The 26,371-nt window shown below is 35.6% G+C and overlaps 1 long non-coding RNA gene across 1 annotated transcript, besides 2 other annotated features; it reads left to right on the top strand.

Annotated features, from left to right (window-relative positions):
* Positions 1–7,890: 7,890 nt before the first annotated feature.
* LOC105375525 (uncharacterized) lies at positions 7,891–16,616 on the top strand. Its single transcript, XR_928034.2, has 3 exons — positions 7,891–8,657; positions 9,078–9,317; positions 16,403–16,616. It is a non-coding gene; the product is annotated as an uncharacterized LOC105375525 (long non-coding RNA).
* Positions 18,701–18,901: a silencer, noted in NCBI's record as "peak6776 fragment used in MPRA reporter construct". NCBI's record gives its function as "represses an SCP1 promoter by STARR-seq MPRAs in K562 erythroleukemia cells {active_cell/tissue: K562}" and the evidence as "EXISTENCE:reporter gene assay evidence [ECO:0000049][PMID:32103011]".
* Positions 22,811–23,011: a silencer, noted in NCBI's record as "peak6775 fragment used in MPRA reporter construct". NCBI's record gives its function as "represses an SCP1 promoter by STARR-seq MPRAs in K562 erythroleukemia cells {active_cell/tissue: K562}" and the evidence as "EXISTENCE:reporter gene assay evidence [ECO:0000049][PMID:32103011]".

Genomic DNA, 26,371 nt, shown 5'->3' with positions numbered 1-26,371 from the left:
TGAATTTTGCCATATTATATTTTCTGTTGTACTTTTTGTTTGTACTTTGTTATAAACATGTTTATGTTCTAGTTTACTTTGTTATAAACATGTTTATGTTCTAGTTTTTAAATATAAAGGAATTGTCTTCACTTCAATGATAAGGCAAAAATCATGAATTATTTTACAATAAAATAACAAAGATTATTTGTTTTATTAGGTTAATTCAAGGATTGTAGACTAGGGAAACAAGATAAAGAAAAACCATCTACAAATTATAAATGAGAATTAGATTCTTAGTGGAAGTTCTGCCCTTGTTTCTTTCTCTTTTTTTATTCATTTCTTTTTAATGGATCTATCAAAAAGAAAGTATATTAGGAAAAAGCTAATAACGCCTCAATATTTTCTTGAGGTAATGTTAACATTTTTATGCATATTCTTCCAAAATATTCCCCGTGTACACATATATTCAGTGGCCCTGAAGTATGCAGCCAACTCGGATTGGAGTGGGACATTCTGCGAGATCCAGCCAAGTCATCCCTGTTCACACTGATTCACGTCTTAAATATGAATTTATCTTCTCTGCTACCCTCATTATTCAAGGGCTCATAGAATTCCTGGTTTATTGACAATGCTTATAATATTGCCTCAAAAAACGGACACAATTCTCAGCAAAAAACAACAGGCACTACAATGCGTGAATCACCACAGGATTCAATGGTCCTAAAATATATACCATTGTCTGAAGCTGTTCATCCAATAGAAGCTTGTAATCACTTTTTAGAAGCTTAGTTAAGGTGTACACTTAGGGAATATACCTGTGGAGTTTTAGCACAGAATTCTAGGACATGTAAGGTGCCAGGTTTAGCAAATAAAATACAAGATGCCCAGTTGAATTTCAGTGTCAGATAAATAACGAATGGCTGTTTTAGTATAAGTATGTCCTCATTGTTACATGGAACATATTTATACTAAAAAATTATTCATTGAGTTTTCCCAGCACCATTTATTAAATAGGGAATCCTTTCCCCATTGCTTGTTTTTCTCAGGTTTGTCAAAGATCAGATGGTTGTAGATATGCGACATTATTTCTGAGGGCTCTGTTCTGTTCCATTGATCTATAGCTCTGTTTTGGTACCAGTACCATGCTGTTTTGGTTACTGTAGCCTTGTAGTATAGTTTGGAGTCAGGTAGCGTGATGCCTCCAGCTTTGTTCTTTTGGCTTAGGATTGACTTGGCGATGCAAGCTCTTTTTTGGTTCCATATGAACTTTAAAGTAGTTTTTTCCAATTCTGTGAAGAAAGTTATTGGTAGCTTGATGGGGATGGTATTGAATCTATAAATTACCTTGGGCAGTATGGCCATTTTCACGATATTGATTCTTCCTACCCATGAGCATGGAATGTTCTTCCATTTGTTTGTATCCTCTTTTATTTCATTGAGCAGTGGTTTGTAGTTCTCCTTGAAGAGGTCCTTCACATCCCTTGTAAGTTGGATTCCTAGGTATTTTATTCTCTTTGAAGCAATTGTGAATGGGAGTTCACTCATGATTTGGCTCTCTGTTTGTCTGTTATTGGTGTATAAGAATGCTTGTGATTTTTGCACATTGATTTTGTATCCTGAGACTTTGTTGAAGTTGCTTATCAGCTTAAGGAGATTTTGGGCTGAGACAGTGGGGTTTTCTAGATATACAATCATGTCATCTACAAACAGGGACAATTTGACTTCCTCTTTTCCTAATTGAATACTCTTTATTTCCTTCTCCTGCCTAATTGCCCTGGCCAGAACTTCCAGCACTATGTTGAATAGGAGTAGTGAGAGAGGGCATCCCTGTCTTGTGCCAGTTTTCAAAGGGAATGCTTCCAGTTTTTGCCCATTCAGTATGATACTGGCTGTGGGTTTGTCATAGATAGCTCTTATTATTTTGAGATACATCCCATCAATACCTAATTTATTGAGAGTTTTAACATGAAGGATTGTTGAATTTTGTCAAAGGCCTTTTCTGCATCTATTGAGATGATCGTGTGGTTTTTGTCTTTGGTTCTGTTTATATGCTGGATTACATGTATTGATTTGCGTATGTTAAACCAGCCTTGCATCCCAGGGATGAAGCCCACTTGATCATGGTGGATAAGCTTTTTGATGTGCTGCTGGATTCGTTTTGCCAGTATTTTACTGAGGATTTTTGCATCAATGTTCATCAAGGATATTGATCTAAAATTCTCTTTTTTGGTTGTGTCTCTGCCCGGCTTTGGTATCAGGATGATGCTGGCTAGTCATATGTAGAAAGCTGAAACTGGATCCCTTCCTTACACCTTATACAAAAATCAATTCAAGATGGATTAAAGACTTACATGTTAGACCTAAAACCATAAAAACCCTAGAAGAAAACTTAGGCAATACCATTCAGGACATAGGCATGGGCAAGGACTTCATCTCTAAAACACCAAAAGCAATGGCAACAACAGCCAAAATTGACAAACAGGATCTAATTAAACTAAAGAGCTTCTGCACAGCAAAAGAAACTACCATCAGAGTGAACAGGAAATCTACAAAATGGGAGAAAATTTTCGCAACCTACTCATCTGACAAAGGGCTAATATCCAGAATCTACAATGAACTCAAACAAATTTACAAGAAAAAAACAAACAACCCCATCAAAAAGTGGGCAAAGGATATGAACAGACACTTCTCAAAAGAAGACAAAAAACACATGAAAAAATGCTCATCATCACTGGCCATCAGAGAAATGCACATCAAAACTGCAATGAGATACCATCTCACACCAGTTAGAATGGCGATCATTAAAAAGTCAGGAAACAACAGGTGCTGGAGAGGATGTGGAGAAATAGGAACACTTTTACACTGTTGGTGGGACTGTAAACTAGTTCAACCATTGTGGAAGTCAGTGTGGCGATTCCTCAGGGATCTAGAACTAGAAATACCATTTGACCCAGCCATCCCATTACTGGGTATATACCCAAAGGACTATAAATCATGCTGCTATAAAGACACATGCACACGTATGTTTATTGTGGCACTATTCACAATAGCACAGACTTGGAACCAACCCAAATGTCCAACAACGATAGACTGGATTAAGAAAATGTGGCACATATACACCATGGAATACTATGCCGCCATAAAAAATGATGAGTTCATGTCCTTTGTAGGGACATGGATGAAACTGGAAATCATCATTCTCAGCAAACTATCACAAGGACAAAAAACCAAACACTGCATGTTTTCACTCATAGGTGGGAATTGAACAATGAGAACACATGGACAGAGGAAGGGGAACATTACACTCCAGGGACTGTTGTGGGGTCGGGGGAGCGGGGGAGGGATAGCATTAGGAGATATACCTAATGCTAAATGACGAGTTCATGGGTGCAGCACACCAACATGGCACATGTATACATATGTAACAAACCTGCACATTGTGCACGTGTACCCTAAAACTTAAAGTATAATAATAATAAAATAAAAAAAATTATTCATTCGTTACCTAAAGTGTAAACTTAACTGTGCATCCTGCATTTTGCCTGGCAACCATGGGATATAGTGTATAAATTGAAATGACGGTCTTTATATGGTGCTGTGCCTCTGTGGTGGCTGAGAAAATGTACTGCTCAGATACTCTGCTAAGGGGAACATGATGTAATACTGGATAAGCAAGATTTCAATGACTTGCGGAAACTTTCTTGGGACAAAGGATTTAACATCCTGGCAAGAATCCCAGGAACCAAACTCACTGTTAGAGTGGCTCTTAGAATCCTGTAGAAAGCAAGGATTCAGTTCATAATGAGTGAAGCAAAAATGTCAGAGTTTTCAAGCCAGATAATAAAGAAAACTATTGAGAAGCTTAGAGAAGTACGAAGCTGAAATCAATATGATATGTGAGACCAGACAAGCCACAGAGGATCATGTTACGCTTTGGGCCCATGGGACATGCCATTCACCAAGGCCATCATGAATGCACTGGTAAGAGGAACCAGCTTCACTGCAAAATTCAGTGACTGCTCATGCTTAAAAGCCAACAGCCAGGAGGATGCAATTACCTAATGATGAGGAAAGCCCAAGGGGAAACCAACTGGACTCTACCTTTAGAGAATTTAGGAAATGGTTAATGGAACCTGGTGTGCTTAGCAGCAAAATTGTAAGGTAAGCCAGGTGATATCAGAGACATTGAATGTCTACAACCAGGAAAAGTTATGAATAGAAGAGCTGGGGGCACTTGTCCCTCAAAATAGTTATGATTCCTGGTTCAGTTCCTAAATCTGAGCTAATTTTTATATTTGGGACCCAATGACTGAAAACATGTTCAGGCCACTCGACTCACTTGAAGGAAATACTTTGCAACACTGTGGAAAGAAAAGACCAGGATGATCCCTTTAGTTTTTCCTCCATTGGATCTATGGGCACTTAAAAGGGTGACCATCATCATGGACCCTTGCTTGAGTTGGGGCTTATAGGAACAAGTAAAAACTGGTGCCCTGGATAAAGTCTGGGTCACAGATTGCATCTGCAGACCCACCCAGAGGTCATTTTCTGAGTCCCACAGTAGAGAGTTAAAATGGATATCCTTAGCAGTTGGAGTAATCCCTACATTGAATTCTTGGGCTCAAGTAAACACTATCATAGGAAACCTCTGAAATTGCCCTCCAACCACCATCAATACAGCTGATCAAAACCAGAGTTATATTCTCAAAGAGAATCATAAAGAGTATTGCCACCATTGTAATCCTGAAGGACGTGGTGGTGGTTCCTGCCTCTCTTTATTTTGACAGTCTGCCCCACTCCCTGCTGCAAAATAAAAGGACTTTGAACAATTTTTGTAGAAGACTGCAAGAAGTCCAAATTGAAGCTGCAGTGCCATACCTAGGGTCATTGTAGAGCAGATGAATGAGGCCACATGTACACTGCAGGCAGCCATTGATTTGACAAAAGTGTTCTTTTTGATTCCAATTAGGAAACAAATTAGAAAGAGTTTAGTTTTGTGGAACACATACTATTCATTTATAGTTTTGCCGCAGGACTATATAAATTCTCCCATTCTGTGTCATAGTCTGAAGGAGATTTGGACTCCCTGGACATCCCATAGAATATCAAGCCAATCTTTTATATCAGTAATATTGAGGAAACTAGGCAGGATGAACAGGAGGTGGCTAGCATGTGGGAAACCTGCTAAGACACTTATATTCCAGAAAGTTGGAGATATACCCTATGAAAATTCAAGGAACTGCAATTTCAGTGAAGTTTTTAAAGATCGAATAGTAAGGGGTCTGCCAGGATATCCATCATTCTAAAGCGAAACAAATTATTTCATCTTGCATCTGCTGTCACAAAAAAAAAAAAAAAAAAAAAAAGAGAGAAAGACATGGTAGGCCTCTTGGGTTATGGAAAATATGCATATTCCACCTAGCAGTTACTGCTCAGGTCCATATATCTAAGCCCTATTTATTAGAAAAGGGCTTAGTAACAGGTCCAGGGTGTAAGCACATGGCCCTGAAGCTTGGGCATTATAATCTTGCGGATGCTATGGCAGTGCAAATGTATGTGTAGAGTGAGAAAAGATGCAGTAAGCACCTGTGGAAAACTCTAAGGAAAGAATTACAAGACAGGCCCTTGAGATTCTGAAGCAAGGAAATTCTTGCAAATTTGTCATATAAAATTTACATCCTCATTGATGAAGTATGGAAGTTTCCATTACTCCTTTATTTTGTCAATGCTTAGTGTTGTCAAACTTTTAAATTTTCTTAAGTTATGAATATAAACTTGACTTTAAAAAATATGATTTTATACTATTCACATAGAAAATTAGAAAATTAACTTATTATCCAAACATCTTTGTCTCTTGTAGATGGCAGTCTTTTATTAGATTGAGGAAAAGTAGCTAAGGTCCAAGATTCCTTCCACTAAAATAATAGATGTTTTAATGAGGGAAATAACATTTTTAAAATATAGAAGGAAAGAAGCTTCAGAAGTTCTTATAACCTTTACAGTAATTGATACTTTATAATTGTTTCTTTTCCTATAGTGTACGATTATTCCTACCCCAGATTCCTTGAAAAATACAATATCCCAATTCTTGAGATTAGTTGCTAGGTAGTAAAATGGAAAAAAAAAAAAGCAAAGAAAAGAAGAAAAAGAAAAGAAAGAGAGAGAGGAAGGAAGGAGAGAGGAAAGAAAGAAAAAGAAAAAGAAAGAAGAAAGAAAAAGAGACAAAAAAGGAAGGAAGGAAGGAAGGAAGGAAGGAGGAAAGAAAGAAAAAGAAAAAGAAAGAAAGAAGAAAGAAAGAAAAGAAAGACAGAAAAAAGAAGGGAAGGAAGGAGAGAGGAAAGAAAGAAAAAGAAAAAGAAAGAAGAAAGAAAAAAGGAAGGAAGGAAAAGAAAAGAGAAAGAGAGAGAAAAAGAAAGAAAAAAGGAAGGAAGGAAAAGAAAGAAAGAAAGAGAGAGAAAAAGAAAAAGGAAGAAAAAGAAAGAGAAAGAAAAGGAAAGAAAGGAAGGGAGAGAAAGAGAAAAGAAAAAGAAGGAAGGAAGGAAAGCAAGCAAGCAAGCAAGAAACTTAGGTAACTGAGTTGTTTGGCATTCAAGACATTCAGGCCTATTGAGGATTACTTGCCCCTTGCCCCAAGTATTTGGTTATGTCTATGAGATATGTAAGTCTAGAAGATGCTAGAACATCTGAAAAAAGTAAAAATTATATTCACATATTAAATGAGATAATAGATAAATGACCATATTCTTTACCTTTCCTTTTAATGCCTGTTTTTATATTGAACAACCATTATTTGTGGCTGAGATTCTTCCACTTTGCAGGAATTTCTCTTCTCTAAAGCAGAAGTCATATATTGCGGGATCTGGCTAGCAGCCCGCAATGCAACGGGGCTCTCTCTTTGTTTCCAGGTGGATCGGCAGGTTGAGAAATAATAGACACACACAAGATAGTGAAAACTGGGTCCAGGTGGGTCACCGCCTTCTGGTCCCATGGTGCCAACAATGCACTGGATATACCAGCATTTATTATTAAGTTTAGTGAGGGCAGGGGTAGGTTAGTGAGGGATTTAGTGTCATTTGATTATGAGGTGAGATGGTCACATGGGGATGAAGTAATTCTTTAACATAACATTTGTATGCAGAAGTACAGTACATTTGTATGTAGAAGTACAGTACACAGAGATAAGAATTTACAATATAGTGTGTGCATCAGTAATTTCTAACAGAGCCTTAAAACAGAAACACAATCTTTCCATAACCTATGATTAGCAAGATATTAATCAGCAGTAACAATTTCAACAAAAGCTGGTTACAAACAATCCATGGAAACAGGACATGAAGCTAGACAACCGGTTAGACCAGAAATTCTCAGAAGGGAGTATGCCTTAACCCTAAAGAGGCCTAGAAGAGCCACGGCAAGATGAGGGCATTCATAGCGCTCTTATCCATATGGACAGGCACCCCCCCATGCATCCGTTTATAGGCTCTCCACAAGGGTAGCATTCCATTCCCAGAGCCATGAACATCTGCTTTTCTGGGATAGGAATCTTGGTGATGTGAAACCTCCCTGACTGCACGTCCATTCATAGGCTCTCTGCAGGGGGAAGCACATCACGCGCTGTTGGCTCATTCTGGCAGTCCAACCTGGCATTGTCTTTACACAATCCTGCATGCAATTTTGTATTTACAATAATCAGGAGCATTTCATCTTTTATACCATAGCAATAGTTTTAGGGGGTCTCCCTACAATCATAGACATTCCCCCAGGCTCTCATGGACCATGTTACCAATGACACTTTAATTAAGGAGCACACAGATTCTGTCTATGTGTGGGATAAGGTTAGTTTAGTCTGAGGAAGTAGATATTAATCTTTACATAAGACAGAAAATTAATTTCACATCAAAGTGAGTATTCTTGCTTGCAATATCATTATTTTTTCATTACAAAATAACACTAGTTTGGGAAAATTGTTTGTAACATGTATTTATCACTTTTTGTACTCTACTGTCTACTGTTTAGTGTTGGTAATATGTCTATGGTTCTCAAAAGGAAATCATGTCATTCACAAGAGTCATAAAAATGTTTTCTTTGAAATCCACCTTAAACTCAGCTCCTTTATTGGCTGTCATGAACTCTGCTTTATAATTCATAATTGTTTCTCTTTTTGGGCTTATTTTAAGTTACCACATTTCAATTTCTATTTCAATATCTGTTCAGTTAGGTACATTTGTTTATTACCTATTGTCAGTAGTTGGATTCTGAAGAGACAGTTTCCAAGAATTGGAAAGTATATTTTAAAAAGAAATAGATTACTTTCTGAAAGTTAATCTACAAAGTCAGTGCTCAGTAAGTCACATGCAAATGCAACTGACAAGGAAGAATGGCTGTTAGATCAAGGAATTGAGTGGCATAAGATTGATGTCACAATGTTGTCCAACAGGGATGTTCCAATTAGAACTAGGAGCAAGGAGGGTGTGAGAGGGAGGTGAGAAAGATGTCTAGGACAGAGAAAGGGAGGTTGCAGTATTCCACATTCCAGTGCAAGCACGAGGAGGCGCAGGAGAGGGAGACACTTAAGTCAAACACCTACCACATTCATATCTACTGACACGCCAGCACTGATTTCAAGGAGAATATATCCATACCGCATACAGGAAGAAAATCAACACCATGTCAAAGTTAGTATTACAGCCCAAGACGCAGTTATTTTCATAATTAATACATAGAGATCATTATTTTCTTAAGTCAGCTCTACAACATGGTTAATGTGAGCTCACACTGCCATATGTGGTCAATAGGAATATGCTGATAATTCAATCTTTGAGCTAGCCGGGGTCAGTTCTTGAGCCAAGGAATACGAGCCAATGTAATGCTACCCCAGAGGTTGATTTCTCACGTGCAGACTGCTTTTTCCAAGTAATAATGATATGTCATGTAACTGTTTTTGAAATTTCTACAGTTGATATAGGTCATTAAAATTATCAGACTAGAAAGTGCTTTATATTAAATCATTTAAGATATCATCAACTTTATGGTAATACAGTACATATTCATAGAAATATTTCCATCTTTTTTCTGATATCTGTTGAGATGAATAGAATTACACGCAAGTGAGGAAACACACCAAATCTAAATCACAAGGAAATCTCATTCCCAGTAAGTGGCCTATGAAACAAACTTCAATAATCTGCTGAAAGAAGCCTCTTCTCATATTTTATGGGAATAGAGAGAAAAGAGAGACTTCAAGATAATGAGGGAGAGAAGAGTTCTTACATATCAAGAAAAATCTTCAAGACTGAAATGGCACTTCTCACAGCATTCATATGAACTGCATAAAGGTTCGTAGAAAACGTGTGAATGGATTGTGTCATTATCATCACAGTATTAGGCTATGTTCCAGCTACTTAAGAGGTCAGTTTGAGAAAGCAAATTCAACGGGAGAGATAGAGAACGTGTAGCAAAGGAAGACTTATTTTCCTTCTGCCATCCTGTTGCATAATGGGTTCATTTTTAGTGATCCCCAATACAGACTAAGCACAGTAAGTATTATTAAGGAATAAAATATCTGGGTAACGTGGAAAAATATGACACATGTTATTTCTATCAACATCTTGACTAGTTGGATAAAATCCACAGCAATGTGTATTAGCCCTCTGGGCTTTCCAGAAAAATCTCTCACATATTTTTCTTATCCAAGAACACAAATCAAACTGTCCCATTTTATTTATGTAAATTATTTATTTATTTAAATAATATTTCAACATATTGCCAAATGAGTGTCTATACAGACACACATACACACACACACACACACAGACACATTTGGCTGCCTCAAAGAACAAAGCATGACCTATATTGCTGTCTTAGTCAGCTCAGGCTATTATAACAAATTACCATAGACTGAATGGCTTAAACAACAAATATTTATTTCTGATTGTTCTGGAGGCAGGAAAGTGCAAGATAAAGATTCTGGTGGGGTTTTGCTATATCACTAATATCTCTCTTCTGCAACTGCTTTTTAATGTTAATTGCAGGTTGTTTTGAACCCCATAATATCATTACTGCAAGAGGTACCCCCTTACCTGAAGTAGTTGAGAATGGTGTCTGTGCAACCGTGGTTCAGTTAAACTCTCAGCTTCATTTGGTAATTGTAGTGATTGTAGTCAGTGTCTTTTCACCAAACCTGGTTTCTATTTATACAAATTAAGTAAAACTTTAGTAGGATGTCCATGTATATCAGTTCTAGGGATATCAGGATCAACTAGCCAGTACCAAAATTTTCTGCCAAGAAAACTCTTCCTATTACTGATGCTGCCTCTGCTTCTCATCCTAGGATCCATATATTTCTTGTTTTGGGTAAATTAGTGCCTCCATATGGCTCGTGACACCCAGGAACCACATTGTCCTCATTGAAATCAGACTACCCAGTCTGATAGCAACATGTCTTACCACCAAACTTGGCCTATAGAGAATAGTCACAACAATATGCCAAGACTCCTCTCACTAATGTATTTTATACACCCCTAAGGTGGCTTATGATTTGACCAAATCCAAACATGTATTAATTGTGAGGTCCAATTCTAAAAAGAATCAAGTTTTCAAGGATCAATTTGATTAATTAATTTGCCCATTTGTTATTTTCGTATGTTTACACCTACCACATACTAGGCACTTTTCTAGGTCCTGAGGATAAAGCACTGAACAAAACAGATAAAATGCCCAGGTAAAATTTATTCTAGGGGATTCTAATACATAGTGGATCTTAGGGTGTAATGTGGTTTCTGGGGTAGAAAGAAGAGACTGTGGCAGTCAGGTAACACCAGGATTCTTTTAAATGGTCATAATTAGTGTTAAGTTATTGAAGTAGAAATCTAGATCCCAGTAATTCATTCAGAAGACCAATCATTTATATAGAAGATACTTGCAGAGTCTAGAATGATAAAATCTGCATTTTCCCAACAGAAATCTTCACACCTCAAAATCAGAATCATGCTTAATTGAAATTTAGAACTTTCTCTTCATTTTCTTTTTTAGGCTATTTAAAAGAAAAAAAATAATGCATAACATGATTTTTGTTACAAGACAGAAGGTACTTCACACAACAAAATGTATTCATGTTCTCTTCTCCCTGCTGATCTTGGCATATAGAAATCCCATTTATAATCAGTCTTAGTCACAATATTTTTTTTCTCCAGAGTTAAGAGTGTTTATATTTGTGTCTTTTCAGCTCCTACTAAAAATTCACTTTTTTCCCCAATCCATTTGTCCTAATATTAATTTCTCTTATTCTCCTCTCATTGCATCATTGCCAAAACATGAAATTGGGGAAACTAGAGTGTTAAAAATACTTTTCTACTTTTCCATCTTTTGATGTGCTTCAGCCCCAAATAACTAAACAAATAATTTAGTTCCATGAAGTATAGAACAGAATAGCTAGGGGAAAAGAGTAATTATTAAGTGGTCCTGGGAAACTCAATTTACTATTCTGAAAAAAAAGGGACTGTTAAAATTATATCCCCATCTCATATCTTAAATTATAATAAATATTAGATTAATTAAAATCTTAAACCAGAATGATGTAGAGGGGATGGGGATAAATAAAAGTGCATTTACTAGAAAGGTGATATCTGAAGATTTCCTCACTATTGCTTATTCTGCTAGTGTAAATCTCTCCTGCTTCCACTTTATAAGCCCAGTATTCAGCAAATTATACTGCCATTATGAATGCTTTGACTGGGTAGATACATATATGCATAGATTTGTAGGGGTATAGGTATGTACTATGAATATAGATGACAAAATGTGGCTGAGTTTACATTCTAAATTCTAACAGTATGGAACAGCAAAGTATATACAGAGGCAGGAGCTGGAGACAGAAGGAACCGCACAACTATGTGCTTCAGAAATAATTCTTGATAAAGGTTTTCTCGTTTGTATTAGATTCCCATAATGGCTGCAGCAAATTCCCACAAAACTGGTGGCTTAAAACAACATATTTATTCACTTGGAGTTCCGGAGGTCCCAAATCAGTCTTACTGATTTTAAATCACAGTGTCACCAGTGCTGTGTCCTTTCTGGAGTATATTAGTTGGCTTGTAAAGAATAGAAATTTGGGCCGGGTGCGGTGGCTCATACCTGTAATCCCAGCACTTTGGGAGGCCAAGGCAGGGGGATCACCTGAGGTCAGGAGTTTGAGACCAGCCTGGCCCACATGGTGAAACCCCATCTCTACTAAAAATACAAAAATTAGCCGGGCATGGTGGCAGGTGCCTGTAATCCCAGCTACTTGGGAGGCTGAGTCAGGAGAATTGCTTGAACCCAGGAGACAGAGGTTGCAGTGAGCCAAGATCATGCCACTGCACTCCAGCCTGGGTGACAGAGTGAGACCTTGTCTCAAAACAAACAAACAAACCAAAAAAAAAAAAAAAGAACAAATAGAAATCTATTTTCTCACAATTCTGGAGGCTGAGACATCCAAAAACAAGGCACCGGCAGATTCAGTGTCTGGCGAGGGCTGGTCTCTGCTTCCATGATGATGCCTCTTGCTGTGTTCTCACGCGGTGAAAGGGAGAAGGACAAAAAGGACTCAAGGGAACTAGCTAGTCATGGAGCCCTCATGAGTTAATCACCTCCTAAGGGACCTAACTCTTAAAACTATGACATTGGGTCTTAGGTTCCAACATACGAATTTTGAGGGGACACATGCATTCAACCATACAGTGGAGGCTCTGTAGGACTATCTGTTCCTTGCCTTTTCTGGCTTCGAGGTGATGCCTGCAGCCCTTGTCTTATGGCTTCTTTCCTGCAATTGTTTCACCAGCTTCTGCTTTCATTGTCACATCTCCTCTCCTGACTCTGATGCTGCTGCCTCCCTCTTTCACTTATAAGAACCTTTGTCATTAACCTGAGTCCACCCAGTTAATCTAGAATAACCTCACAGTCTCAAGATCCTTGACTTAATCAAGTTTGCAAAGTTCCTTTTGCCATGTAAGGGAGCATGTATACAGGTTCTGAGGATTAGGATGCAAACCTCTCTGAGGAGGCAATTATTTTGCCAAAGGCACAAATTAAATACAGAAAGAAACATAGTAAATATAACACAATGCACCCATCGATCATAACGTAAGGTAATATGACAAAATTTAGATCAAATTTACCAGAAATTTCAATAAAAATAAATGTTTTTTATAACCCAACCCTAGAATTGGCATGCAAATCAAAACTCAACTCTGTTCTATATAAGAGATACACTTAAATTACAGTATTTCCAAAATGTTAGTACTAAAGGAGTGAACAAAGAATTGATAGAAACAGGGAAATAATAAGAAGTGTTTTCAATCTTGATAACAAAGTAGAATTTACATTAAAAAGTATTAAAAAGGCAAAGTCTGACACATTTTAAATGCTAAAAAGCGCACTCCACAATATATATTTAATGCTAAAAGTCACTTTTCAAAACACCACAGACATAACGGTTATGAATACTTACATGCCAAATAATAGAACAACTGCAATATCAAACTGAAACAACATGAGATAAAAAGGATTTCTAAAAACCCATTAATAATATGGGATTTAATACACCATTGTCAATATAAAAGAAGCCAAGTAGACAAAAATTAATGTGGATATAAAAATGATCTAAATAACACAGTCAGTAAAGTAGAATTTTTCAGACATTTAACAAACATAATATTCTGACGATAGAGAATATATCTTCTCGAACACACCTGAAACATTTCTAAAAATTGACCGTGTATCAAGAATCATCATTAGTTTTCACAAAGTGGAAATATTTTGTGTGATTGCAATGCAACACAAATAGAAGTCAAATATAAAATCAATAATCAAAAAAATCTGTCTACTTGGAAATTCAACTGTTTTTCATAATAGAAATGTTTAATACTAGGAACTGAATAATTGTTATAACACTAACACTTATAACTTACTTATGTTACAACGATAACATTTATATTGTTGTAACACTCACACTTATAACAAACGTGAGAAGTAGCTATAGGATTCTTTTAAAATTTTATTTTAATGGACTTAGGGGATAGAAGTGCAGTTTTATTACATGGATAATTTGCATAATGGTGAACTCTGGGCTTTTAGTGTAAACATCACTCAAATAATGTATGTTGTACCCACTAGGTAAGAAATTCAACTTTTTATTAAATAACTCTTGAGTGAAAGAATACAGATGTCATAAATTTAGTTTATTTACAAAAATAATGATGATGAGAATCCTACATATCAGAAGCTATGGGAAACTTGTAAAGCAGTAACCAAAAGAAAATGTGTAACATTGTAGAATTATAGCAATAAAAGTAAAAATAAATGAAGCATCAATATTTAATAAAGAAAAGGAAATCAAAGGAAAGCACAAGGAAGAAAAATGAAAGAATAAAAGAGTAGAGAACAGAAAAACTTTAAATCAAATTAATATTCTATTAAAAATAATCAAAATAGACAAATCACTAGCTAACAACCTAACTTTAAAAAAAGGAGAAAACAAATTTGCAAAATAAGAAATGGCATGGGGGAGGAAATCCACTTCTGTCATGGCTGAACAAGCCTATACAGGACTAACCCTACATAAGATAACAACTACAAGCCATGAACAGATGACAAAACACAATTATTTGAAGGCATTTGAGAGTCAACACAGAGGTTTGGGAGGAAAGTCAACGCTTCAATATTTGAAAGAAAAACAAGGCACAGGTTAGTTCTTCATTTCTTATACTTTTCAGCTTTTGGGTATATCAGTCTTCACCATGCAGAAGGACATAATCTCTGTTGGAAAAGCTGCAGTTGTTTAAAAGTAGGAAATTCAGGGAAACCACAGCCAATGGACAATAATGGTAGAATGCTAGAAAGGAGAGAACCAAAGAGAGTGATTCCCAAGATTTATACAAACCTCTCCCCAGATGTCTGACGGACACTTGCCTCTCACATGTATTGGTAGACTCAAAACAGCCCATCAAAAATATCAAATAACTACTAAGATGTCAAATGGCATGCAAGACTTGGCAGTTTGGGTCTGATCAAGATAATTGGCTTCTAAAGTTTATGAACAAAAAGCTAATCTTTGGGAGAATATTACAGAATATAGTCATAACCCTTATAGTGCCCAGAAAAAGATTGTTTAAATTATTTAATATTCAAAGAAGGGAAAAAATTACTCATTTGCAAAAGATCATCAACAGACAAGAATATTCAAATATTGGAATTATCACTACACAGATTTGAAAGCAATTATAACTAAACTCATGATTATAAAGGAAAACATGGTTAACAATGAAATAGACTTTAGAAAATGTAATTTTAAAATGCTATTATTAAAATAAAAATTTTACTCTATGGGATTAACAAAAAAATGAAGATAGAGCAAAGAGTATATGAGATCAATAGCAATTAACTAAGCTGAAAATGTTAAGAAAAAAGTGGTTGAAAACAACCTCAAAACCTGTAGGATAACAACAAAAGTCTAACATATATGTAATTGAAGTTCTAGAAAGAGAAGAGAGAGAAAAGACTGAAGGGAAAATATTTCAATTGCTGTAAAATTTTGCTGTTTAGTGTAAAATATATTTTTTGTGTGATTTATTGCTCTAATTTTAGAAGGTTAGTAAACCCAAACAAGATACAGATGAATGAAATCACTAAGTACATGACAGTAAAACTAGTGAAACCCAATAAAAAAAGAATACCTTGATACCAGCCAAAGGAAAATAACATGTTACATCCCGGGAATAACTATTCAAATAGCCACTGGCTTCTCGTCTGACTTTATGGAGGCCAAAAGATAGTGGAAAACATTTTCAATATGCTGAGAGAAAAAAAGACCCAGAATATTATTATGAGTAAAAACATTCTTCAAGAATTAAAATTAAACATTTCCAAGTGGTGGGTAGAGAGAAAGAAACAGAGAAAGACATACACATACGCGTGCACACACACACACGCACACACACACACACAGACATAGAAACACAGAATGAATTTGTCTCCCACAGAATTTCATCATAAGATATGCTAAAGAAAAGACTTTGGGATGAAGTAGAATGATATCAGATCAAAATCTGGACCTTCAGGAAGAAATGAAAAGCACTGGAAATGATAAATATTGGAGGGAATATAAAAGACTACTATTCTTCATATTTTAAAAGCATGTTCTTTTAAAACAACAAAAATATTGTCTATTTAGTCTGTAATATATGTATATGTAATGCATATGAAAACTACAGCATGAAGTAGGATTGATACTTGCTTTCTATAAAGGAAAAAATGGTAAACATTTTGGCATTTCAGAGCATATGGTCTCTGTCACTCTTGGTGAACTCTGCCATTGTACCATGAAAAGTCATAGGAGATACATAAATGAATGAGCAGTGTTCTAACAAAGCCTTATATGTTACAGCCAATTCAGGGAATACGGATTAGGTATACTTTTCCCTAATCCTCCTGCTAAGTAAACTGAACAAATCTGAACATGATACACAGAACAAATGTAAAAATACCCTGAAAAGTGGAGAGAAGCCAAATTTCAGGACTTGAAGAACAACACAGTGGTGAGTTCTGTGGGTTTTCTATTTTTCTTTTTTTCATATATCCCAGACTTGAAGCTGAAGAAGCCAACAACCAGGATGGGTACAGACAAAAAACGGAAAAAAGGAAAGGAAAGGAAAGGAAAGGACAGGACAGGACAGGACTGGACAGGACAGGAAAGGAAGAGAGCAAAAGCATGCTTTATATAGCCGAAGGACCAGGAGCAGGACGGCCTAATGAAACAGAAAACATTTAGACAATAGCTGGTTTACTCCAGCCAAACACCACTGAAAACACTCTGATCCCACCCCTGATCCACACCAGCAAATGTGGACTGAGAAGCCCAGACTTGTGTGCTTGCAAGGCTGTAACAAAGCATCCCAACCTGTCCCATAAGTGTTCTAGAACCAATAAGTGGGTCCAGGAATGTCCCAGGATATAAGATAAATATACACAAATTTGTTATATCTATATAGTAGCAGCAAACATATATAATGTATATACACACATACACCATACATACGTACACAAATTAAAAATATGATAGTTTGCAATGACTCAGCAAATCTTTATTTGATTGATGTCTTTATTATGCAAATAATAAAGCAAATCTTTATTAGATTGATTCAGCAAATCTTTATTAGATTCATTTCATTCTTAGGTGTAAATCTAATAAAGAATATACAAGACATATGCTGCAAACTATAAAATACTAATGAAAAAATAAAAGATCTAAATAAATAGAAAAACATACGGTGTTCATGGAATAGAGAACTGAATAAAGTAAAAATATTAATTCTTTTTGAATTGATATACAGGTTTAATGAAATTTCTATCAAACTCCCTGCAAGAGTTTTTGTAGATATATGCAAGATTATCTTCATACTTATATGGAAAGGCAAATAAACTAGAATAGCTATTTTTTTTTTCCTGGAAAAGATAATAAAATGAGAAGAATCACTCTGCCCAATTTCAAGATGTATTATTTATCTACAATAATCAGAACTGTACAGTATTGGTAGATAGACATATAGATCAATGGAACAGAAAACTCAGAAATAAACTCACAAATACATGCCCAATTTGTTTTATATATATAAGACCTTCATTAAAATATAAGTAAAATTGTACAGTTTACTCATTTGAAGTGTATAATTCAATATCGTGGGTTTCTTTAAAAAAAATATTCAGAAGGTTGTGAAATTGCTAATACAACACATTTTAGAACATTTTCACCTGCCAGGAGCGGTGGCTGATGCTTGTAATCCTAGCACTTTGGGAGGCCAAGGCAGGTAGATCACCTGAGGTCAGGAGTTCGAGAGCAGCCTGGCCAACATAGCGAAAGCACGTTTCTACTAAAAATACAAATATTAGCCAGGCCTGGTGGTGGGCGCTTATAATCCCAGCTACTCAGGAGGTTTAGGCAGGAGAATCGCTTGAACCCGGGGGCAGAGGTTGCAGTGAGACAAGATCATGCCACTTCACTCCAGCCTAGGTGACAGAGTGAGACTCTGTCTCAAAAAAACCAACAAACAAATAACAAAAAGAAACCCCATTTTCATCACCCCAAAATAATGAAACCACATACCTATTAGCAGTCATTCCTCAATTACCCCAAATATCCCTCCCCTCCCCACCACGAATAATCACTAATCTAATTTGTTATCTGTAGATTTGCCTAGTCAAGATATTTTATATAAATGGAATCCTATAATGTAGAAATTAACATATAGAAAATGTGATTTTTAAAAGATATAGGTGTGGATATTTTAAATTTCCCTCCAAGCCCTGCTTTTGCTCTATCCCATAAGTTTTGATATGACATGTTTTCATTTTCATTCTTTCAAGAGTATTTTCTAATTTTCCTTGTGATTTATTTGACTCATTGGTTATTCAGGAGTGTTATTTAAGTTTCACATATTTGTAAATTCCCTGAATTTCTTTTTGATATTGATTTCTTATTTAATTCCATTGAGTGAAGAGAACATATTTTGTATGATTTCAGTGCTGTTAAATTTACTGAGGCTTGCTTTATGGCCTAGTAGAAGGTCTATCTTGGAGAAGGTCTATCTTATGTGCACATAAGTTGATGTTCTACTGTTGTCGAATGAAATCTTCTATAGATCTTGTTTAGGGTTAGTTGGTACATAGTGTTATTCAGTCTTCTATTTCCTTATTCATTTTCTGTCTAGTTTTTCTATCTATTATTGAAAGTAGGGTACTGAAGTTTCTGATTATTACTGTTGAATTGTTTATTTTTCCCTCCAGTCCTGTCAGTTTTGCTTCATATATTTGGAAGCCCTGTTGGGCAGCATGTATGTGTTCATAATTGTTTTATCTTCCTGAAGGATGATCCTTTTATTGCTATACACAGTATCTCTTTTCTCTAATAACATTTTGCTTTTTGAAAATCTATTTTTTTCTGATATTGGTATAGTCTCTTCAGGGTTGCTATGATTGGTCTTTGTATGGTTATACTATATGCATTTTCATCCTTTTGCTTTCAAATCTTTGTATTTTTGGATAGAAAGTGTGTTTCCTGTAGGCAATGTATAGTTGGGTTTTGTTTGTTGTTGTTGTTTCTGAGACGGAGTCTCGCTCTGTCGCCCGGGCTGCAGTGCAGTGGCGTGATCTCCGCTCACTTCAAGCTCCGCCTCCCGGGTTCACGCCATTCTCCTGCCTCAGCCTTCCGAGTAGCTGGGACTACAGGCACCAGCAACCACGCCTGGCTAATTTTTTTTTTTTTTTTTTTTTTTGTAATTTTAGTAGAGATGGGGTTTCACTGTGTTAGCCAGGATGGTCTCGATCTCCTGACCTCGTGTTCCGCCCGCCTCGGCCTCCTAAAGTGCTGGGATTACAGGCGTGAGCCACCGCGCCTGGCCGGGTTTTGTGTTTTTAATCAGACATATGCATTATCATTGGATTGTTTAATCTATTCACATTTAATGTTATTGATAAAGTTGTATTTATGGCTCTCATTTTACTTTTTGTTTTCTATGTGTCTTACTTTTTGTTCCTCTATCCCTCCTTCCCTGCTTTCTTTCGCACTAAGGGAATATTTATTGCATAATTTTAAAATTTATTTAATGATCTTTAAGCTATATTTTAAAAGTTATTTTCTTTATTGTTACTTTAGGACTTATCACATACATCTTAGCTTCTCAGAATTTACTCTCAGATTTATAGTATCTTAATTCCAATTAGATATATAAACATTACTCCTATATAGCTCTATTCCCTTTTCACAATTTTTGTGATATTATTGTTGTGTATAGCATACCTTTATAGTTTACAAACCCCAAAGTATATTGCTTTAACTATTACTTTGTACGATTTTATATCATTTAAGAAAGGTAAAAGAAGGAAGAAGAGCAAGTATATATGTATAAACTTTTTACTACCAGCCTGCTTATTTACTATTTGTTGTTTTATTTATTTGGTCTTGTGGATTCAAATTACCATTTGGTTTTATTACTTTCTTCCATAGAGCTTTGTTCTTGCATACTAATTCTGTGCTATTGTCAAATACATTACATTTCTATTTGTAATATTCTCCACAATATAAATATACATATGTACTTCTATGCAATTGCTTTTTAAATCAGTAAAGAGAAATAAAAAGAGACCTCTGCATTTATGCTGCCTTTTAAGTTACATAATCATCTTTACCAGTGCTGTTTTTTTCTGTGTATTTGAATTACTGTCTGGTGTCATGGGCTTTCAGCTTGAAGAATTTCCATTAATATTTATTAAAAGATACGTCTGCTAGAAACCAATTCTCTCAGTTGTTTATCCAGGATTATCTTTATTTTGCTTTCATTTGTGATAGTTTGCTAGCTATAAGACTGTTGGTTGACGATTTTTTATTTTAATATTTTATATCTGTTTTCCTACTGCCTTTTGCTCTCCATTGTTTCCGATGTTAATTTTATTAGGGTTCCTTGTATGTAATAAGTCATTTTTCTTTTGTTGCTTTCAAGATTTTTTCTTTGACTTTCGACAATTTTGTTATAATATGTCTGGGTCTGAATTTCTTTGTGTTTATCCTATTTCTAATATCTAGAATATATAAAGAACTTTCAAAAGTAAACACTCAAAAAGCAAACTATCTGATTAGCAACGGGCAAAAGAAATGAATGGGCCGGGCTTGGTGGCTCACGCCTGTAATCCCAGCACTTTGGGAGGCCGAGGCGGGCGGATCATGAGGTCAGGAGATCGAGACCATCCTGACTAACACGGTGAAACCCCGTCTCTACTAAAAATAAAAAAAAAATTAGCCAGGCGTGGTTGCGGGCGTCTGTAGTCCCAGCTACTAGGGGGGCTGAGGCAGGAGAATGGCGTCAACCCGGGAGGCGGAGCTTGCAGTGAGCCGAGATCGCACCACTGCACTCCAGCCTGGGCAACAGAGCGAGACTCCGTCCCCTCCCACGCCCCCCCACCCCAAAAAAAGAAATGAATGAATGGACATTTCACTTAAAAGGATGGGACATAAGCACATAAAAATATTCAACATCACTAGCCGTTAGAGAAATTTGAATTAAAAACACAATGATATATCACTCTGCACATATCAGAATGGATAAAATAAAAATAGTTGTAATCCTAAATGCTAGTAAGAATGCAGAGAAACGGGGTCACTCATATGTTGTTGATGAAAATTTAAAATATTACAGCTACTCTGGAAAACAATTAGGCAGCTGGTTAAAAAACTAGACATGCAGCTACCATTCAATCCAGCAATTGTATTTCTAGGTATTTATTATACAGAAATGAAGATTTAGGTTCACACAAAAACCTGTATGTAAATGCTCATAGGTGCTTCATTTGTAACTGGAAACAATTCAGATGTCCTTCAACAGGTGAATGGTTAAACAAATCATTGTACCCACAGCACAAAATACTGTTCAGCAATAAGGAATAATGAACTATTTTCACCTGCAACAACCTGCATGAATCTCCAGAGAGTTATGCTGGGGAAAAATGTCCAGTGGCGAAAGTTTACGTACTATATAAGTGTATTTATATATCATTCTAGAAAAGACAAAAATTATAGAAAAAGAAAGCAGATTATAGCATGAATGGATATGGAAATGATAGCAGCATATGGGAACTGGGCAAGATTATAGAAGGGCAACATGAGGGATCTTTGTTGTGATAGAAATATTCTCCATTTTGACTGTTAATGTCAATATGTTGTTTGTTCTATTCTACTATGGATTTGCAACATGTTACCATTGGGTAAACCAAGGTAAATGGTGCATGGGACTTCCTTGGATAATCTCGTAAAACTTCATGTGAATCTAAAATTATATAAAAATGGAAGTTCTATTTAATATAAAGCATTTCTTTTTTATTTTTTTTCAAAAATAGAAGGTGGGCCAGTTATATGGAGCAAAATGAAGAAGTAAATACAGAAATTTAACAATAGCTAAATCTGGGTTAAGTGTTATATCAGCGCTCTTAGTACTCTTGCAATTTTTCTAAGGTTTTACAATTATTTCTCAATATAAAAATTAAAAATAGCCAAAAAAAAAGCCAAAACAAAACAGAAGAGCAAAGAGGTGTTGATAAAGCAAAAAAACTAGCTCCATATACATGCTCATTGTCAGGAACACAGAATCATGCAGAGAAGAGATGGAAAATAGCATTAGAAAGTATTTTGATAGATTGTGCAGTGTTTTGACTTGTAGACTGAGGAGCTTGGATATCATGCACTAAACAGTAGAATATTAGTAAATAATTTTAAGCATGTGAATGACATGATCAAAGTGGAACTTTGAGAAACATTGATCTAGCAGTGGTGTGCAAAGGAAGAGATATCAGGTCAGAGAATAATGCAGGCGGGAATGCAAACTGCCTAGCAGTGTAGTCAGAGGCAAGAAATTATGTGAGTGAACACTAAACAAATAGAAAAGCTTTTATGGTGTGTAAAAATCAATTTCATGTGTACAAAATAGGAGAGAAACTAGCTTGAACAGCTACTGATATAAAAATAAATAATTAAAACCCTAGGGATTTTAAATTAAAATAAGTTCAATATGAACCAGGAATATCAAAAGACTCCTAAAAAATCCAATACTAGAGTCTTCGTTGATTCTAGTAGAAATGCATTGTCTGTATAAGAATGATAAAATTCCACCACATTTTACCTTTATCAGACAAAAACCTAAATAAAGTGCAAAGTTCTTGCAGCACATTTTAAATAAGCATTTTGTTGCTTTTACTTTGTCTGTAGTTTTGAGTTTATAAAAGAAATATAGGGTATTGGGAAATGATGACCTGGCTTTTAACAAGCATTGTAAACAAGACTTTCACATTCTGAGATCAAAGAGTGGGGAGACAGAAAGAGAAGACTGATTGGTACTAACAAGAGACTGAATTTACTTCGGATTGCAGTATGTGTTAAGGAAGCTCTGAGATAATGTTGACAGATGAGGAAGACGTCTTATGTATTTTCATGATGAAATTATTCCTGCAGGTACCTCCACAGGGAAGTTTTTTGCTTGAAAAATTTTATCTACTTTGGGAAGCCACTTGCTTAGACAGTCATCCCAGCTCTTTGTTTCTCAATCTATTTTGGGAGACACAACTCCCATGTGCGCGTGATGGGCTGTCCTACTCATCTTTTTTTGTTTTCTGTCTTCCTCAACTGATTTGACAAATAGTCCTATTTATCAGTTTATATAACTTTCTTCTGGCAATAGCTTTGCCAGCCACTGATATTTTAACCTCAGAATATTCCTGGTTAATGTCTTCTCTGCTACCATCTTAAGTTCTGTATAATATGTACATACTGAATGGTATGATTAATTTGTAGTTACAATATTTACATGAAATTCTCTGTTTTCATAGAAATCATAAACCAAAGTGTGTCATTATACAATTTAGCGCCTATAAGGAGAGAACCATTAATGGTGGTTTTTCTCAAAACAACATACCTTTCTGTGATCATTGTACCAATATACCCCAGGGATTCAGGCTTAAATTTCAGTGTCAGGTATCATTCATCCTTTTCCCTCATCATTGTTATCCGTTTTTCATGAACTTTTTGGTAATAATGTAATTTCTATAAGATTTAAAATATACAATGTCTCTCATAATCAAAAATGTGATTTTGGGGAGCTTTCTTACTTACTTAAGGTAAACTTACCTGCTTATAATAATGTAAAATTTTTTAAATTTGTGGTTTACAACTTTAAAAAACTGGCATAAAAGTGATGAACAATAGAGTCTGGGTTCTTCAGTGGTTGGATGGTTGACATGACTGGAAAAGTCAACAAAAGAAATTAGTTGGAAACAAAGATGAATAGGAAAATTTCAATTCTAGTCAGATGGTTATCAAAAACCGTGATGAAGGCCTCACGTGGTGGCTCACACCTGTAATCCCAGCACTTTGGGAGGCCAAGGCTGGTGGATCACCTGAGGTCAGGAGTTTGATACCAGCCTGGCGAACATGGCGAAACATGGTCTCTAACCAAAAATACAAAAATTAGTCAGGTGTAGTGGTGTGTGCCTGTAATCCCAGCTACTCGGGAGGCTGAGGCAGGAGAATCACTTGAACCCTGGAGGTGGAGGTTGCAATGAGCCAAAATCGTGCCACTGTACTCCAGCCTGGGCAACAGAGTGAGACTCTATTTCAAAAAACAAAAACAAAAACCAAAACAAAAGAAAACCCATGATGAAATGTCTTAGTGAGGTCACTTGAGTCAGCATTTCAAGACATAATTAAAGAATAGCTTCTCACTTCAACCTCAAACCTCCATTATCCTCAATGTTCATGGTTGACTCAAGAATAGGGATCTCATAGAATATTTGGGCATTCTAACTCTAATGAAATTGCATTAGTATGCTTCTCTTAAAATTCCTATTTGCTCCTCTAGTAAAATTTTCCCATGTTACTTTGTAGCATCACTATCATAGGACTTATATATTAACCCACATATATTGGTTCGTGTGTTTATCTTTCTCCTAATTCAGGCATCTCAAGTGGAGCATGTTTTTATTACTCAAGTGTTTGTAACATATTTTGTAATTTGGGTCAATAAAATACTGAAAGAGAAAATTTTTCTAAATAGATAGCAAAAACAATTTCATATAAGTTATTTAATTACATAAACATCGTATCTCACAACTATTCATTTGTTTACATATTCTCTAAAAGAAATACACATATTGTGGGAATTAGTGTTTCCCTATGATTTTTTTTTGTTTCTTTTTATTTTGGCTTATAGAAATTGATAAGAACAATATGAGAAACTCCCATATATCTTTTATACAGATTCACCCATGATTTAAATGCTGTCTTGTTTGTTTCATCATTATCTGTCTATCTATCTATCTATCTATCTATCTATCTATCTATCTATCTATCTACCTATTATCTATCTATCTCTCATCTATTGATATCTGTTCTTAAGGTCTTTTTCTCCATCTCAGGGATATTTTTAAAAACAAAACAAAACAATTTTTGAATCTTTTCCTCCTGAGATTGTCTCAGCGTTCTTCTCTGGGAATTCCCAATGGTTAAATTTTGGAACTTTTGAGTGGTATAGTTCATATATTTTCACTTTTCTCTCATATTTCCATCTTTTAGTTCTAATTTCATCTATATATTCTAGAAAGTGTCAAGGACTATGTATTACATTGTATGATATTAATGGATTTCTTAATGTTGTGCCAAACTTGCATTCCTGGAACAAATCAGGTTTGGTTTTCTTAATGTAGTGCTGAATCTGTAAATATTTTATTTTATATGTTTGCATTGAAATTCATAAATTAATCTATATTTTCTTTACTTTTATTCTCTTTACTAGATTGACTTCATAACTTCATTAAAAAGTTGAGAAAATATCTTCATTTTCAGTAGTCTGGAAAAATTTATATAGAGTATTGAAAGCTTTAGTAGAATTTCTATGTGAATTCATCTGAACAAGGTGCTAAAATGCCTACAAAGTTGAGTAGTTTTCCAAGAATTTTATTGATTTCTTCTATCTACTTTGGTCTGTTTAATCTTCCTCTATCTGATGGAGTCAATTTTTGTGCTCACTTCGTTCACATGTACTCTAATGGAGTCAATTTTGTAAACATATATTTACTTAGGAAATTATCCGTTTCATCTGAGATTCAAAATATTTGCATAGAATAGGCCGTTGTGGTAATTTTTTTTTTATTATACTTTAAGTTTTAGGGTACATGTGCACATTGTGCAGGTTAGTTACATATGTATGCATGTGCCATGCTGGTGCGCTGCACCCACTAACTTGTCATCTAGCATTAGGTATATCTCCCAATGCTATCCCTCCCCCCTCCCCCCACCCCACAACAGTCCCCAGAGTGTGATGTTCTCCTTCCTGTGTCTATGTGATCTCATTGTTCAATTCCCACCTATGAGTGAGAATATGCGGTGTTTGGTTTTTGTTCTTGCAATAGTTTACTGAGAATGATGTTTTCCAATTTCATCCATGTCCCTACAAAGGACATGAACTCATCATTTTTTATGGCTGCATAGTATTCCATGGCGTATATGTGCCACATTTTCTTAATCCAAGTCTTTGCTACTGTGAATAATGCCGCAATAAACATACGTGTGCATGTGTCTTTATAGCAGCATGATCTATAGTCCTTTGGGTATATACCCAGTAATGGGATGGCTGGGTCAAATGGTATTTTCCAGTTCTAGATCCCTGAGGAATCGCCACACTGACTTCCACAATGGTTGAACTAGTTTACAGTCCCACCAAAGTGTAAAAGTGTTCCTATTTCTCCACATCCTCTCCAGCACCTGTTGTTTCCTGACTTTTTAATGATTGCCATTCTAACTGGTGTGAGATGGTATCTCATT

This window comes from Homo sapiens, chromosome 7 (genome assembly GCF_000001405.40).
Source record: "Homo sapiens chromosome 7, GRCh38.p14 Primary Assembly".
In the NCBI taxonomy this organism is placed as follows: domain Eukaryota; kingdom Metazoa; phylum Chordata; class Mammalia; order Primates; family Hominidae; genus Homo; species Homo sapiens.
The sequence above is the reverse complement of the archived record's forward strand: the minus strand, read 5'-3'. Positions and strand labels throughout refer to the sequence as shown.